The following is a 17110-nucleotide window of genomic DNA, read 5'->3' as shown; positions in this document are numbered from 1 at the left end:
CACCTGGGGTATGAAGAAGGCTAGTGCAGCATGGTCCAAGATGCACTCAAACTGTGGCCACTCTGAACTGACATGTGCCATGAACATCAAATACACATTAGATTTCAAAAAGATAATACAAAGGAAATGATGCAAAATATCTTGTTGACAATTATTTGTATTGGCCATACATTGAGATGGTAATATTTGGGATATATTGAGTTAAATAAAATATATTATCAAAAATAATTTAACTTGTTTCTTCTTATTTAAAGTTAAAATTTACATTTAAAATGATATAACGTGCATTGCATTGTATTTCCATTGGAGAGCATTGGGCTAGGAGGATTGGTTTCAGCGGATTAAAATCAAATGATGTTGGAGATTACTAGCAAAATCAGTTTTGTTTCTAGACAAGCTGATAAATAATTACACTTTCCTGACCCACCCCTACCTTTTCCTCCAGCTTGAAGGTTAAGCCTCATTCTCTCTCCCCCAGGAGACACTTTGTCAGAAAGCTCCCTGCCTCCAGCCTTCTCTGCCTCAGATAACAGAGATGTTTGTGAAACTCCTGTCTGATTCAGGCACTCCCCTAAACCATGTCTGTGCCCCATGTGTTACTGCATCCCATCCAATGGCCCTTCTTAACCTGAACTCTGCAGCACTGCAGCCTCCCTGCCTCTATTCTGCAGAAGCTCTCACTTCCCAGACTCACCCAGCCTTCCAGGCCACCATTTATTCCCCAGACTGTCATTTCTGCCTTTAAACTTTCTCCCTTCATCTCAACCTAGACAACCCACACTTAGCCTTAAAAACTCCCTCCGGCAGGCCCTCTGTTCGAGGTTTCCTGACTGAGCTGGGTCATGGCTGTGCCTGATGCATTTCTTAGCCGATTCTCCAGCAGACTAGGGTTCAAGGACATGTGACAGTCTCTACAGAGGAATTTTAGGGAGCAGACAACTGGCCTGTTCACACTGGCACCCAGCATGGGGCAGAGTGCCTGCCACACAGAAAGTATCCATGCCTGCTGATTGAGTTCATCAATCAATCAATGTCTCAAAGTACTGAGAAGTCACTGACTCTGAACCTGGATGGCTGTTTTAGGGCCATCAGTCCCCATTATATAAGCAAATGTTGCAGAGTAAATCACCCCAGGGGTGAGGGAGAGAAGTAGAGGCTGCCTCCGTTATTTGAGAGAGTCTTTGCCTTTATTAAGCAATGTTTCCACTAAGTCCCATGGGAGATATTCATAACCTCCCCAAAGGTTGTGACAGAATCAGAGCCTACTGCACCATTGAAAGGTACACAAAGAATCAGGAGAAGACCCTCTGTAGCCTTCTCAGGGCTCAGCACTGACTCTTCCGGTCACCCAGACACAGGAAAGACTCACCAGATGCCTCATGATGGAACTTGAAGCCTTCAAGCTGAGGGTAAGTGATGCTGTCAAACACCTTCAGCTCTGACCTCCCACAGGTTGTCAGCCACACCACCAGCCCAAGGAGCTCCTCCAGATGCGGGTCCACTTCGCTCTGGGTCAGCCCATCATACCTGGGGGAACAGATGAGGCCAGCTCCCTGTACTTCCTAGATGGAGCAGCCACATGCGTGCATGGTGCTCTCAAGGAGACAGAGCCAATGGGGATCTGCAAGCTGGGGAAGACCCCACAGGTCTGCACCTGAGGCAATTCAGAGGCAAGGGAGCGCCCTGGATAAACACCACTCTGCAGATGTCAGTCTTAGATCCAAAGAAGTGCATTTGTAACCTGTGAAAAGCTATGCCATCTGCTCACAGGAAGTCACTTTCCATGACTGAACCTCCAAAAGACATGTGGTTAGGGCATCAGCAGATCAGGGCACCTCCCAAAGGAGAGATGTAATATAATAGTTCAACATTGCAACAAAATGGTGTGGGAAATAGTCGGACTTCCTTGTGCTTATTTAAAGGTTGAGTGTGGCTTTTGTATTTTAATTATGGGCAGGTAGGCTGTCCTGCTCCTCTTGTGGAGAAGGGCATCTCAAGTCTTATTCCAGCCCTGCCATTTCCAGAGGAAAAGTTCTTGCAGCGTGACTTCAGTTAAGGCAAAAAGGAAAGCCAATGAGCCCACGTGGGACCTTCTTGGCACTCCCTGGAATAGGTTTCTGTCCCCTCTCCTGCCTTCCACAAGAATTCTGGGGAAAACTCAACACCCAATGAACCAAAAATTTGTTCAGGAAATGCTATGACACAGACCTCCGTGGGGATCATAGTCAGCTGGTCACAGCCCAGACCAATGCAAAATGTGATGTGCCCAGAGGGGCATTTACACTTAGCGTCCCTTTGGAGGAAGGCACTAGGGTATTGCCATTTAATCACATCCTTCTGGACACTTGGTGGACCAAAGGACTTTGGCCCCCTTGTCCAAGTCACCGCATGTAGGCTCAAAGCCTGGCTCTGTAGTGAAGTGTGTGAAGTGCGGTAGTAGATATACCCCTCAGAGGAGGAGGGTGTCTCATTCTCGCCCAGCAAAGCCCAAGGGAAAGTATGTGGCCTTGCCCTATAGCAGCTTCCCCAAGATCAGCAGAGGAGCTTGGGCCATCAAGGCATTTCTTTGATTTCCATCCCTTGCTGTCTGTAATCCCTGGGCCCCACTCGAAGATGATACAGGAAGGCAGAGTGGAAGGCAAGGAGCCAGCCCAGGCCCTGCTGAACGGTGTCTGAGCTTGGGTTTCCCATGTTTCAAGGATTTGAGAAAGAGGTAGTTCACTTGGGAGTTGATCCCAGAAAACACCAGTAGGGGAGAGGCCACGTGAGACAGGGAAGGGAAGGAAACCAGTCCAAGAGCATTAGCAAGCAAGCGCCTCATGGGGCCACTGGAGCTAATCCTTCTGGGGAGCTCTGGAGGCCATGCAGAGCAAGCCCACCCAAGGGCAGCTGTGCTGGATGTGCACCCATTGGCACCTTCAGTCATTGGTGGGCAGCTGCTCCTGAAGGTGGTTCATTTCCAGACCTTTCCAGCCCTCCAAGCACACAGGCAGGGCAGCTTACAGCAGTGCCAGAAGCCCTCCAACAGACAGGGCTTCTGTTTGGGTTCTGACCGGGGAAAATCAGGCCAGCAGGCATGCAGGTGACAGGTGCCTACAAGTACACTTTGTAAAACTACTGATTCTCTAAGGAAGTGGTCCCCATGCCTGTCTGCACAATGAATCACTTTTGCAAATAAGAGGTCTCTCTGGCCATGTTCTATGGAGCTATATCTATTTTTCTGCAAAGCACCCCAATGATTCTGAGGACTAAGGCTTTGGTGGTCCTGTGCTCTCCCCGTACCAAACACAGCCACTTACCGAAGTAACACTTTGAGCAGCAGAGGATAGCCCTCTGAATTCTCAAACTCCAGGAACAGAGCCGAGGAGACGGGGTAGGAGTCCTTCACGAATCCCAAGATCAGGCTTACAGCCTCGCTCACTTCAGGGGCAGGGAGAGTGTCCGTGAGCCTGGAGAGGTTCTGGAGGGAGAGCCTGACACAGTCTGTGGCTGCAGGAGGGAAGCACAGGAGAGACCTGCTGAGCTTGGAAGCAAGAGCTTTCCTGCCATGGTCCACCTACCTCCCCTACTCCAAACAACATGTCAAGACATGAATGGGAATTAATCCAAAACATGTTCTGCTGGCTCTTGGATCAGGAAGACCACCCCAGAGAAAGTGCCATCCTGACAGCTGCACTCTGCAAGCCCAGCAGGTGACACAGGAGAGGAAGGCAGCCCCTCAGCCCTCTGTCCCTAATTCTCAGCAAGAAGGGGGAGTCCAGGTCCATTAGGTAGTGAGATGTAAAATGCAAGACCTGAGCTCATCTCAGACCTTAAGGAGGCAATGCTGGAGCTGAGCAGAAATTACCTTGATGAAAAATGCAGGGGAGGATGTATGAACATGTGAGGAGGCAGAGGGTAAAAAGATGGGGTGCTTTGGATACTGAAGAAGCCAGGGGATTGGAACACTGAAGTGTGGCCCACAGAGAGGAAGGAGGGTGTGGCCCATTCCTAGGGGACAGGCCATGGGGCTTACTGGCTACCCCACCAGAGTGGTGCGGAGCCAGGGGAAGATTTGAGTCTGAAGAGAGAGGTCCTCAGATTTGCATTTGGATGGGTCACTGTTTTTAGAAATCTCTCATCAAGAGAAGCCTCTTCTGAGTGCTGGGGAAGCCAATCCAGTGGATCAGAGAAAGTACCTATGAGAGCTTGAGATAATGCAAGCTCAGCCTCTCAGCTGCAAGGACTCAGAAGAGCCGCAAAGAATCACAACAATCCAATAAGATCAGCAGCATTATTATCCCCACTTTACGGATGAGAGAACTGAGGCACCCCAATGGTTAAGTGCCTGAGATCACTCAGCTACGAGGACAGAGCTGGAGTCCAGTCCTGGCTGTCTGGCTCCAGAGTCTTTGGCCTTAACCCCTACACATAGTTCCCAGTGTATAAATGAGGGTGCCGGAATCAGGCATCTTTAAGTTTGAAAGTGCATTCTCTTCCTAACTAGGTGAATAGCCTTGAAAAATTCTTCTACTAGTCTTAATGTTTATTTTCCCCATTCTAAAATGGCATTAATAGCTATCTCAAAGAAACAAGCAAGATAATGTACAAAGGGGCCCAGCACAGTGTCTGATTGGTAGTGTGTGCATAGTGAGATCCTCTTTCCCTGCTTTCTCCAATGGAGCAGCAAAATGAACAAGAAAAGCACTTACATGAAGGGAGCCAAGCCATGTAGAATTATCTACCGGACATGGCTGCTCATTCATCTCTTCTTTGGTCCCAAAATTCTATAAGAGGCTGCAAGAGCATCCCAAGTCTCATTGTAGAAAGTGGGCCCTCAGCCTTTGCTCTGAGTTCAAGGGAAGCCCTTGCATGGCCCACAGCCCACATCTAATTTCCCGGGCCATACCCTGCAGGTACTGGATGATGCTGAGGTTCTGGGCCTTGGAGATTGCCCTTAGCACGCAGAAGGTGGGTTCCTTCCAGAAGCAGCAGCTGTGCTCCCGAAGGCAGGTCGTGGCAATCAGCAGAGACTGCAGCTCACTTCCTGAGAGGAGTCCCTCCAGGCCCTGAGAGTCACTGCAAATATTGAGCAACATCTGAAAAATAAGAAGATAAACAGTCAAGGAGACCTGGTTAGGAAGTCTCCTTCCTCAGATGGATTTGTTCCCTACTTCTCTGGAGCACTGATGAGCATGTCTCTGTGAGAAGGACAGGATTGAATGGGGTCACCCTCTGTCCCAGACCAGCAGGGTCAACAGAGCCCCCTAGGAAAGGGTGGCAGGGCCTGGGGCTCAATTCTGACCGCATTAACCCTATACAAGTAATTGTTATCCCTTCCAAATCAGAATAATAAAGAAGTAATTGAATTTGTGTCTTTTTAATGGGAATACCAGAAAATGTCACCCACAATTAAGGTATAGAATTAACAGAACCTTGTGCTATTTAAAAAGGGAAGTGTTTCAGAATTCCTTGTTGACACTCAGACTCTACTTCTCCATGAGACCACAAGAGTCAGCATAAAGCCTCCTAACTGGGTTCCTTGTTCCCGCCAATCCCCTTTCCTGATGGCTAACAGAGGGACTTGCAAAACCTCCCTCTCCACTTGGGATAAAATCCCACCACCGTAGCATGGCCCATAGCATCCTGCATGGACTAGCACTGCCTTCTCACTCACTTTATCCACTGCAGCTCCCCCCTGGGCTCTTGGGGGTCCAACAGGACCTGCTGCCAGTGTGACAAATATCACAAGCTACTTCCATGGGAAGACATTTTCCCCTTCTAGTCTGATACAGAGAGAAGCTGGGCTTCATGGACCACAGCTGTAGGTCCCATTTCCCTGCCTCCCTTGCAGGTAGCTGTGGCCATGTGACCAAGGTCTCACCTGTCCCTGGGCTTGCATTGCCATTTCTCTGCTCCTCTCCACTTCCTCCACCCCACCCGGCCACACTACCTCCTCAGACCCTGACAACCCTCAGCTCTCTGGTTAAATGCCATGCCCTCAGAATAGACTCCACTGATTTCTCTCATACAAATAAAAGCCTGTCACCATCATTGCCCAGTATACCTTTGGCTTTACCTACATAGCACTTAAAAAATTGCTAACTACTGCACTCCAGCCTGGGCAACAGAGAAAAGCCCCATCTCTATTTTTTTAATTGCTAACAACACACTTATTCCTGGATTGTTTTCCCCTTGTTTGACTTCTTCATCCTTCTGTCACCTCTCAAAGTGAAGCCCTATGCTTGCTGCAGCAACCATCTGTCTGCCATAGAGCTGCGCACAGTAGGGGCTCTGTATATTTTTGTGAAATGAAGTAACAGAAACCCTTGAGCAATGCAGGAATGGTCTATTCCCTGTGGCACACATTCTGTCCACATACCCAGAAGACCTCGAAGACAGACCCTGCACTACTTCCCTTCAGGGCACCTAAAAGCCACACAGTAAACATTTGTGAAAGTGCCTGGTGCAGCGTCCTGGCCTCCAATTAGAATATGATTTACATACAAGCAGATGACACCTACATTTCCACAAATGCAGCTCAGAGGGTAACCCACTGTTAATGGAACCTGCCAGAACTCATGCACTACCCTCTGGAAATGAGGAATGGGCTTGGGAATTCGTCTAATGTGGATGCCAATGTGGACATGTGTGTACCATGGACAGCTGCATTTGGGAATTCACTGAACAGTCACAGGCACCTGCTCTGTGTGAGACACTGCAGACACTGGACACACAGCGACGGGCCCCACAGTCCTCTGTATCCTCCCGGGCCACACGATCCTCCATACCGTCCCCTGCAAGCTCAGGGAGCAGGAAGGGTTATCTAGAGAGCTCAGAGTCTCAGAAGGTGAGAAAGCAGAAACTGCCCGGAAGTGGGCAGGGGAAGGAGGTGAGAAGTTAGTCAGTCAAAGAGAAGAGGAAAGATGGGGAATGACAGAAGGAAATTGCATTTGATGCTTAGAGGCCTGAGATGTCTTCTGAGAGGAAGGAAGAGGCACCGAGAACATGTAAACTCAAGTTTACTCAAGGGTGCCAATCCCAGCCCCACCCAAGACTTCTATGACCCCAGACCCCATGCTCACTCACCATGCCTCAGTTTGTATGGACCCAGGATGACAACACTATTTACATCCTGTGATGGCAGACAGCAATCCTGGAGGTGACCCATGTGAGGCCATGGCACAGGGGTGGGTACAAAGCTTATATTTAGAAAATTTTGGCTACTATTTTGCTAGTGGGGCAGACTGTGCAGTGGTGGGGAGGGGAGGGGGAGGTTAGACCCTCTGGGAGAACAGAGGAGTTCAGGAACCAGGGCTGAGAAAGACAAAAGCATCTACGGGAAGCATTGGAGAGTCTGTCCCCGAAGTGAGGTTTTGACCCAGGGAATTGGAGGCCCTCCTTGAACTCACCTGCACGAACATCTTTTGAACTTGAAGATCACTCTCAAGAAGCTCATCTTTGTCCAGAGGAAAGACAAAGAAGAGGTAAAGGCACTGTAGGAGCAGGGCTGGAAGCCCAGACTCAGCAACCCTGCCCAGCGTCTCCTGCAAGAGAAGAGCACACGTGACCCCAGGCAGCAAGGCAGCAGAAGCAGGTCAGCCCAGACCCAGGATCAGGCCCCTGCAGCCATTTCAGTGAGGCCATGGGACAGTCCCTCTGGGCTCCAGTCCTCAAGTGTGAAATGCTGACAACCAGAGGATGCACCTAGGGTGGCTGTGAAGATTAAGTTTATATAAAGTGCTTACTATGTGCTCTATAGCTCCTTTATAAGATTCATAGATGGAAGGAAGGAAGGGAGGGAGAGAGGGAGGGAGAGAGGGAGGGAGGGAGGGTGGAAAGGAGGGAAAAGGGGAGGGACTGTAGAAATTAGAACATAAGGGCTTCCTAACAAATCATACTGTGTGACTGTGGTCCAGGGCCTCATGATTAGGAAGGGAAAGCAGTCCAGAGGTGAGGCTGATAATATGTGTGTGAGCAACAATGGTGAGGACCTGATCAGGCCCCTCCCCAACCTCTCATCTAGATCCCAGACAGATCTCGTCAAGGTCCAAAGAGTGCAATAGGTGATGACTGACAATCAGACAGCCAGCAACTCAACTAAACAGCTCAGGGCTGCCAGACAGAGGCCAAGAGGACAGGAACTCTGCAGAGATGGAGACCAGCCTGCCAGGAGCTTCCTGGGGTCTTTCTTCCTGGGGCTTTGCCTGCAGCTCCACCAGGATTACTGCACCTGCACCCTCTGTGTGTGCGTGTGTGCGCACGCACGTGTGTGTGTGTGCATGATGCATGTGTGCATGTGTGTGTGCACGTGTGTGTGTGCATGCACACATGTGAACACCTTTGGGGTCAACCTATGGAATGCTGTCCATGCAACTTCCCATTCCACTGGTTAACCTGACAGACATGTTGGGGAAGTCAGAGAAAGAGAAGGACGAATGTACAGTCTGGGCCAGGATCAGGACTAGATGCAGGCTGCTGGTCCTAGCCTTGGCCAGAAAGGTTTACAGTGCAATGTACTGTCTTCTATGTATTTGACTCCTTGTTAACCTTGACCTCCTCAGGGCAGCTCTCCCTGTCCTTCCCCCACCTCACCCCCGATGCACCATGCACAGGCAGTGAAAAACAAGCCCTTAGGTTAAAGTGTCACCACTTAGACTGCAGAGAGTCCTTCCCCCAGGGGCACATGTGATGCGCCCTCGTGCTGTGCTTCAGGTCGCTGTGCCTGACAGTGATGCAGGCAGTTCACCTGAAGAAGTGTCAGGAGGTCCTCCCTTCAGTTAACTTCCCAGGTCATGTACCACCCCCTGGCCCCAGACAAGGGCTGCGTGATGTGCTCCTATCACCCTTCCAAGCACGGCTGCAAATGCCCATCTCATGTCTGGGTTCATCTAGTGAAGCAGCTTTGGAACTGGCTAGCAGGTAGAAGCTGGAAGAATTTGGAGAAGTTACACTGAGGGCAGCAGCCACCCAGGTTCCCTGCTGTGTTCCTGGCATGCGGTGGGTATGGGTGGGAAGGGAAGAAAGAGGAGAGCCCTCATCTCTGGGCGAGGGCGAGACAGGTACCTACAGGGAATGTCGTTCAGGCTGACTCTAACAGGAAGAAATAAAGAACAGTGGCTCAGAGCATGGGTTCTAGAATCAGATAGACTGCAGGTGCACAGCGTAGGTAAGCCTGCGTTCTCATCACTCACTGGCATCACCAAGATCTGACTCATAGGGTCCTTGGGAGGATTAACTGACGATGTCTGGGACACACCCAGCCTTGCCCCACAGGTAGGAAGTAGTCAATAAACATCAGCCGTTATCAATCCTACACTAACCCCAGAAGAGAGGCATTATTATCCCCAATCCTAAAATTAGAAATGCAACCAAGGGGCAGAAAGGTAAAGCAATCTGGCCACAGTTACACACAGCTTGTCAACTGGGAAGGTGGGAATTTCAGACTCTGAAGTCCATGTTCTACACCAGAAGGGGAGGAGGGAGGAGAAATAATAAACCTGTTTTATGAAACGAATGACCCTCTTGGGATATGCCACCACCCTGTGCTGGACCTCCCTCTGCACCTAGATGAGCAGTGCCCAGGGCAGAGGCTGATGGTCTGAAACTTACCGAGTCTGTCCCCGTGAGCACGTACACTGACTTCAGGAGCAAGTAGCCATCCTGATCCACGTCCCCCTTCCACCACAGCAACTGTCCAGCTGCCAACCGAGCTTGCTCTGGAAGAAAGTGTCACCAGCAGGGCATACAGCGACCTGCCCACTCAGCTTCCCCTCCATCCAGGGCCCCCTCTTCCCAGGAGATGTGCCTGAGCATCTGTAGAGGACTTTGGCATCTTGCCTACACATCCCCAAGGCCACCTGCATCTCTACCAAACGCTCCACACCCTGCCAGACTAATCTCCTTGGAAGACAGCGTTTTTTGTGCCACCGTCCCCGTTTAGCAACCATCAGTGGTTCCTGATTGCCAATGAGTAAGAACAAGCTAATCGGCTATCAGACTCCCCACAATCCAGAATCTCCCCCTACTTCCTGGATCACACAGTCTCTTATGCTGCAAGAATTCCTGAAATCTACACCATGCTGAGCAATTTCTTCCCCTCAGAATTTCCTCCTGACCCTCGGCCCTCAGCCACTGTGAAATTCTGCCCTGCCTCCAGGGACCAGCGCACATGAGGGGAAGAATGCAAGTCAGGAGGCCCCACAAGAGATGCACTTTGGCCTCTGTGTCTTTTCAGGACCAAGAGCTCCACTGAACACACAGGTGCATCTTCAATCCTAGCACTTCCTCCCAGAGACCGTGGTCCCGTGTGTTCTGTGTGTGTGTCTGTGTTGCAGTGTGTCTGTGTGTGTGTGCCTATGTGTATATCTGTGTGTAGTGTGTTCTGGGTGTGTCTGCATGTGTAGAGTGTGTGTCTGTGTGTAGTTTCTGTGAGTAGTCTCTGTATGTGTCTGTGTGTAGTGTGTATGTCTGTGTGTGTAGTGTATGTGTATGTGTCTCTGTATCTCTGTGTGTCTATGTGTATCTGTGTATAATGTCTGTGTGTAGTGTCTGTGTGTGTATAGCATCTGTGTGTAGTGTGTCTATGTGTGTCCGTGTATAATGTATTATGTGCAGTGTGTGTGTTTGTCTATGTCTGTGTCCCAGGAACAGCAGGGCTCCCCGACCCCTCTTCCCTCCTCCTGCATTTCCCTTGGTCCCTAAGGCACTCAGTGGCAGAGTGGGGCCTACTTCTCTTTGGCAGGCAACACTGTAGCTCCACGCGAAAGCAGAGGGGGGCCTGAGAGGCCTGGGAGGGCATGCAGGGCTGCACTGCTCTCTGTAGAGGGTCTGCCAGCACCTCCATGCTCTTACCCGCAGGCTTCCCCACAAGGGCCTTCTGGAGTTGCTGGGCAAGCTGGTCAGACACGTCTTCAGCCAGCCTTTGGAGACTGGGAAAGCAGATGATCCCCACGGAGTGTTCCCAGGCCTGAAGCAACAGATGGGACTTGGTCAGAGATAGCAATGCCACAAGCAGGGCATGAGCACTGCCTGCCATGCCACCCTTCACCAGCCCAAGCTGACAGCTCGACTTCCTTTCCCAGGTGCATGCAAAAGGCCACCACGTCACCCACCCTCACAGCCTCAACCATCATCCCTATACCAACGCCTCCAGATTCTCTAACTGCTCAGACATCCACCTGAACACGAGCCCCTAAGATGTCAAACACACAGAGCCCAGTCCACCGCCTTCCCCACAGCCTGCTGCATCTGGCGTCGGTGGATGGCCCTGCCAGGTGCCTGCTGCCCCCATAGGAGCACCAGGAGTGCCTCTCCAGGTTTCTCCCTTCCTCAGCCCTCACCCAGCCCCTCCTGTTTCTCCTCATTTACCATTTCAAATCCTGTACAGATATCCCAGTTTTAGTCATTTGATTATTTCCTTTAGATAAATTCCAAAAAGTGGGATTGCAAGTGAAAGAGTGTGCTTTTATTTTCTAGCACTTTAGTACATATTACTAACTCAGCTTCCAGACAAAGTTGAGCAGATTAGACTCTCCAGGCCTCCCGTGAGCAGACAGGTTTCTCTACACCCTCGGCAACACTGAGCATCGCTGTGCTCTCTCATCCTTAATGAAAAACTTCAGAAGCGAAAAAATATCTCATCTCAATGGCAGCCTTTTGATTCCTAGGGTGGATAACCTCTTTTCATGTTTCTTGATTGCCTGTTTCTATTCTTACCCTATTACTTTATTAGGGATTTTACTATTATTTATTTAAAAGAGCTCTTTGTATATAAAAAATGTTAGATAGGCCATAATATAACTGCAGTTATTTTGAGTTTGTCATTTTGTCTTTTAATTTGTTATTGTTTGGTTTTGCTATACAGAAATCTGAAATTCCTATGAAATCAAATTTCTCAATCTATTCTTACATTTTCTGGCTTTAGTTCCAGGCTTAAAAAATTCTTCTCCAGTCCGAGTTGTTGTTTTTAATCTCTTTTTCAGTTTCCTTAAAATTCTTTCTTATCTGCCCCTTCTGTATTTCTATCCCACCTGATCACCTTTTTCTGCAGACTTTTCCCCTTATTATTTAGGATACTATTTAGTAGAAGTCATGAGTTTTAAAATTCTGTTTGGAATGCCAGACTTATTTCAGAATTCCCTCCCTATTTCTGTAGCAGCCCTGTTCGTAAGTCCGCTTTTCATCCAAGTCTTTGAGCAGATGGCCTTTTCTCTTTGTTCTACTGTGTTGTAGAACTGGCTAAGTAGGACTGACTAAGTTTCCTAGTCGTGCGATGAGAAGGGCTCATTCCAGACCAATGGCCAGAGTGGAGGGACTGCCCTAGGTCCAGGACTTGAGTTCTTGAGAGATTCCCTGTGCCTAGTTCCCACCAGGAAGGTCAGCTGCTGTGCACATTCCGGGCATCCGTGGCCTCCACGGAAGGCAGTTTTGCTGCCCCGCTTCCACCTAGCACCACCCACCGTCCACTTTCGCTTAAGCTCCTGCTCAAAGACCTGAATGAGTTCTTTTTTAAGCTGAGCTCTTCCATCTAGGAAAGATAAGAAGGGCTTCAAAATCCAAGAGGAAAAACATTTTTAATGTGTGTCTTGCTGTAGCATTATGCTTGTTAAAACATAAAAGCCTTCAAAAATCTTCCCTTTATTAAAAGATTCTATAAACAAAGTGAAAAGGCAAGCCACAAATTGGGAGAAAATATTCACAATGCGTGCCACTGACAGAGGATTAGTATCCAGACTCCTAAAAATAGACGAGAAAAAAGCAAACAACTTGTTTTTAGAAAAAGAACAAAATAGACAACTGAAAAAAAGATCATTTATGTAAGACAAAATAAATAACAAATTATTAATGATCCATAAAGTGCACATTGAAACCTCAATATTTTATATGTTTTGGGTTGGCAAAAATGAAATACCTGACAATACCAAACGTAGGAGAATGGGGGGAATCACAGGAACCCCCATGTGCTACTGACAGAGTATCGGTTGGAAGAACACTTTGAAGAAGGGTTTAACCTGATCCAATAAAGTTACAGGGGCACACACTCTACCACCTGGCAATTTCATTGCTAGGTATATTCCCTAAAGAAATGCTGGCACATGTACTGGACAGGAAATATTTGTCTGGCACTATTTGTGGCTGTGAAAAACTGAGGGAAAAATTACTGAATATGCTTTGATAAGACAATGAATAATTTGTGGTATATTTATATAATAGGATACTATATAGTACTGAAAAACAAATGGAGCTAGATGCATCAACATGGATGAATCCCAGAAATAGAATGTTGACTGGAAAAAGCAAGTTGTAAAAGTATATTACAGTATGAGTCTATAAAAACCTGTAAGACTAGATTGCATGTTACTGATGGCCTTATATGTAGCTAATAGAAGTGAACATCCACCCAGGGAATGAGGCACCCCAAATTCAAGAGAGAGAACCCCATTGGAGGAAAAGGGAGGGGAATGAGCTATAGAATGTGTACACAGGGAGCTTGGTTTACCTGAAATGTTTTATTTATTATATACTGGTTTGTGAGTACTCATGTGTTTTGAACAAAATTTTGTATGGATCTGAATTTTTTCTACTATATAAATAGACTTGGTTGGCATTTGCTTATGTAAATTTTTTTAAAGTAGCGGGTTAGAACTTTGCTAAAACAACCAAAATGTTGGATTACTGTTAAACACTGTTGGACATAGCAGACCTCCAACACATACTTGATAAGTGAATGAAACGAATATGAAACCCACGATACACAGTAACAATGACTAAATGTTTTGGGCCTCAGTGCCATGCCAAACACTTACACTATGCATTACACTTCCATACATTAGCTCCACTAATCCTCACCACAAGCCTTTGAGGTTTGTACTATTACTATGCCTACTTTATAGAAATTGAGGCTTAGCCGGAGTTTAAGAGAAATCAGTTAAGTGGCAGAGTCAAGGTTTGAATTACTTCACACATGCGTGCACATACCCAAAGTAGCATTCGCACATCTACGAAACTTATAGCTGCCACCTGCAAGCCAACTGCCACTCAGACATGTTAATCCCTGGAGAGAAAAAGTCTGTCCTTTTGCCTTGGAATTTCTGTGGCGAGATGATTTCCCTCCCTAGAAATGAGAACGCTGCTACGATGTATTTCTAACAAATCCCTGCAACTCCTCCCTGCACTGACAAACCCCTCAAAGACCAATTTGCAGGCATTTGACTCAGAAGCATCTATATCGTCTCTGGAGCAGTGGGACTCCAGGAGGCACTCCACAATAAAGCAAATTGGGCCACTGTGAGCTGAACAGTAATTGTACTCTGAGCCAGATCTCCCAAGGCCCAGACTCCTTCCTGGGACCTCGATGGGCACTTCTGGAAGCTGCGTTAACTCTTTCAGGCCACCGGGGTGCTGTTTGATGCACAGAGCCAATCATTTACTAAATGGTACCATGGGGACCCCAAAGAGTTAAGGCAGCTTCCAAAAGGCCCTAATTTTTTCCCAAACTGGGACTTACATGCTGGGAGAATATTGCTCAATATTTTAAAAAACTTTTATTTGCTAACATTATCTAAGCTGCACCATCGTGCCTCATGGCTGTCCCTTCACATGGAAGAAAGAGAAAGAAAATGATGCTCTGGTCTCCAAAGGAAAATAAAGAATGGCTAAGCTCTAGGGGAGATGAGAGGAAAAACCCAGCTTTTGAATGACAAAGAGAACATGGTTGGTATTCCAGCACGAACAAAATGTCATTATTACTCCATTACTGCAGAGTTTGGCAGGTTTGTCTTTAAGTGAGCTCAAAACATTTCTGAGACTTTGCATGAAGTTTCCCTGCGAGTGTGATGCAGTAGACCCTCTCCTCTGTTGAAAAAAAAATGGCGCATCAAAACTTTGCTAAAAAGTGTTATTTCCCGAAGATGGGAATAAACCATGTTGCAGGTCCCACTCCAAGATGGGGTAGAGTCAGGAGTGGACAAAGAGGAGGGCTTACCCTTACTGTCCCCTCAGGACACCACATCTAAAAATAATTGTTGGTGGCCGGGCGCGGTGGCTCACACCTGTAAACCCAGCACTTTGGGAGGCCGAGGCAGGTGGATCACAAGGTCAGGAGACTGAGACCATCCTGGCTAACATGGTGAAACCCCGTCTCTACTAAAAATACAAAAAAAAAAAAAAGAAAAGAAAAGAAAAATTAGCCAGGAGTGGTGGCCGGCGCCTGTAGTCCCAGCTACTCAGGAGGCTGAGGCAGGAGAATGGCATGAATCTGGGAGGCGGAGCTTGCAGTGAGCCGAGATCGGGCCACTGCACTCCACCTGGGAGACAGAGTGAGACTCCCTCTCAAAAAATAAAAAAAATAAAAAAATAATTCTTGGTCATCTTTGCTATTGTATTTAATGGTGTTTATCTTTCTTCAACTATCAGTTAGATCCACACTTGGTTTTTACAAGAATGATCAATCATACTCAACATCACAAACTCTGCACCATTGGCTTAGTAGTCAGCCTAGGAATGTGCACATATGCACACACACAAACACCAAAATACACTCACCTCTAAATACAACTAAGTTAGTGTTCATTTCAATCCCTTCATACTAGGAAATGGATGTATTCCTTCTTATGTTACCCACTTTTCCAGTTACCTGTTGTGCATGACAAAACACCCCTAAATTCAGTGGCTTAAAATAATAGCAATCATTTATTTTGCTCATGGATCTGCAATGTGGGCAGGGCTCAGCAGGGACACCTTTTCTGTGCTCCATTCTGCTAGGGCAGCTAATGGGAGCTAAGAGATCCACTTCCAAGATTGTGGGTGTGCTCACAGGGCTGACAAGATGGTGCTGGCAGTCAGCAGCAAGTGCAGCCTCAAGGTCAGGGCCTTGGATCCTCTCCACACAGGTGTTCACTCAGAACTACTTGGGCTTCCTTACAACATGGCAGCTAGACTCTAGGAGTGAGTATGCCAAGTGAGAGGCAGAAGAAGCTGTGAGCCTCTTGAGGCCTATGCTTGGAAATGTCTCTTCTGCCTTGTCCCATTAGCCCAGTTGATACAAATCCATCTAGATTCAAGGGGAAGGGATAAAGATCCCACCTCTTGAAGGGAGGAGTGTGAGCCCATTCACAGCACCTCTAATCTACCACATCCACATATTTCCCTTTTCTCCAATGTGGTCCCACCTCCCAAGTTGTCTATCTCAGACACTGATAGATTTTGCATTAATTGCTGAGGATTCTCTATTTTACTTTCTGCTTTCTCTCAAAGTCCACATTCTATGAATAAACCTCATTGGCTACTTCTGTAGCTCTAGATTTCCCCATTTCTATTATTACAGGATATCTCTGTGCAAAATGAGGACCTCAAGTGATTTTCTTCCCCCAAAACCAGCACCTTCCCATGATTGCTAGAAGAACACCTTCTTCCCTTGGTGTGAGACCATACGATGGGAAAGGTTCTGAAAAGACCAAACCCCAAGGCTCTTGGCAGGAAAAGAACAACAGCCTATTGAGTCTTTCTTAAAAACACTACTCTGCACACCACAGAAGTCATTGGCTCTGTGTTGCTTCCATGTGATGAAATAAAACTTCCTCCTTATCTGCAACATCCTACAGTCAGCAATCTAAACATCCTATGTGTGGGGGAGACATTCTTTTTGAGCCCAAGGAAAAGGCAAGGTCTTAGCCAGGCAAAGCCATTGTCCAGTGAGTCATGAAATAAGGAAAGACAAACCAGACCTGCTTTATCCTAGAAACCCCAGCACTGAGCAAGGACATCCAGTGGTTAATAATGCAGACCTACAGCAGACTGCCCTGGTGACATTCTGCTACCAGCTGACAATTGGGTGACTTTGGCCAAGTTATGCAACATCCCTAAGCCTCTCTTTCCTCATTTATAAAGCTGGGATAAAAATACTACCTACATCACAGCGTTATTGTGAGGACATGTAAACACTGAACAGAATGTCTGGCTAGCTAGTTAGAACCTGTAGGATATTACCTAGCTATCATCAGTGAAAGCAACTGCTCACCTGGGCATCAGGGTGCCTGAGTTTAAGTCTTGGCTCTGCCCCTTGCTAGTATTGGAACCTAGGGCATCATTTCATCTCTTAGTCTCATTTCTAATATACAGGTTGCTTAGC

At 47.6% G+C, this 17110-nt stretch overlaps 1 protein-coding gene across 12 annotated transcripts in view; it reads right to left on the bottom strand.

Annotated features, from left to right (window-relative positions):
- The window catches only part of WDFY4 (WDFY family member 4), a 298084-nt gene that overhangs the window by 251998 nt on the left and 28976 nt on the right, over positions 1 to 17110 (bottom strand). For all 12 annotated transcript variants that reach the window (XM_011539988.3, NM_001394531.1, NM_001370153.1 and 9 more), the window contains 6 exons: positions 10834 to 10948; positions 9592 to 9698; positions 7392 to 7526; positions 4889 to 5078; positions 3300 to 3489; positions 1370 to 1527 (listed from right to left, as the gene is read on the bottom strand). In XM_011539988.3, the coding sequence (XP_011538290.1) occupies positions 1370 to 1527; positions 3300 to 3489; positions 4889 to 5078; positions 7392 to 7526; positions 9592 to 9698; positions 10834 to 10948 (895 nt within the window). The remainder of the gene's footprint in view (positions 1 to 1369; positions 1528 to 3299; positions 3490 to 4888; positions 5079 to 7391; positions 7527 to 9591; positions 9699 to 10833; positions 10949 to 17110) is intronic.

Source organism: Homo sapiens, chromosome 10, assembly GCF_000001405.40.
Source record: "Homo sapiens chromosome 10, GRCh38.p14 Primary Assembly".
Taxonomy (NCBI): Eukaryota; Metazoa; Chordata; class Mammalia; order Primates; family Hominidae; genus Homo; species Homo sapiens.
Note: the sequence above shows the minus strand (reverse complement) of the source record. Positions and strands in the feature narration are given on the sequence as shown.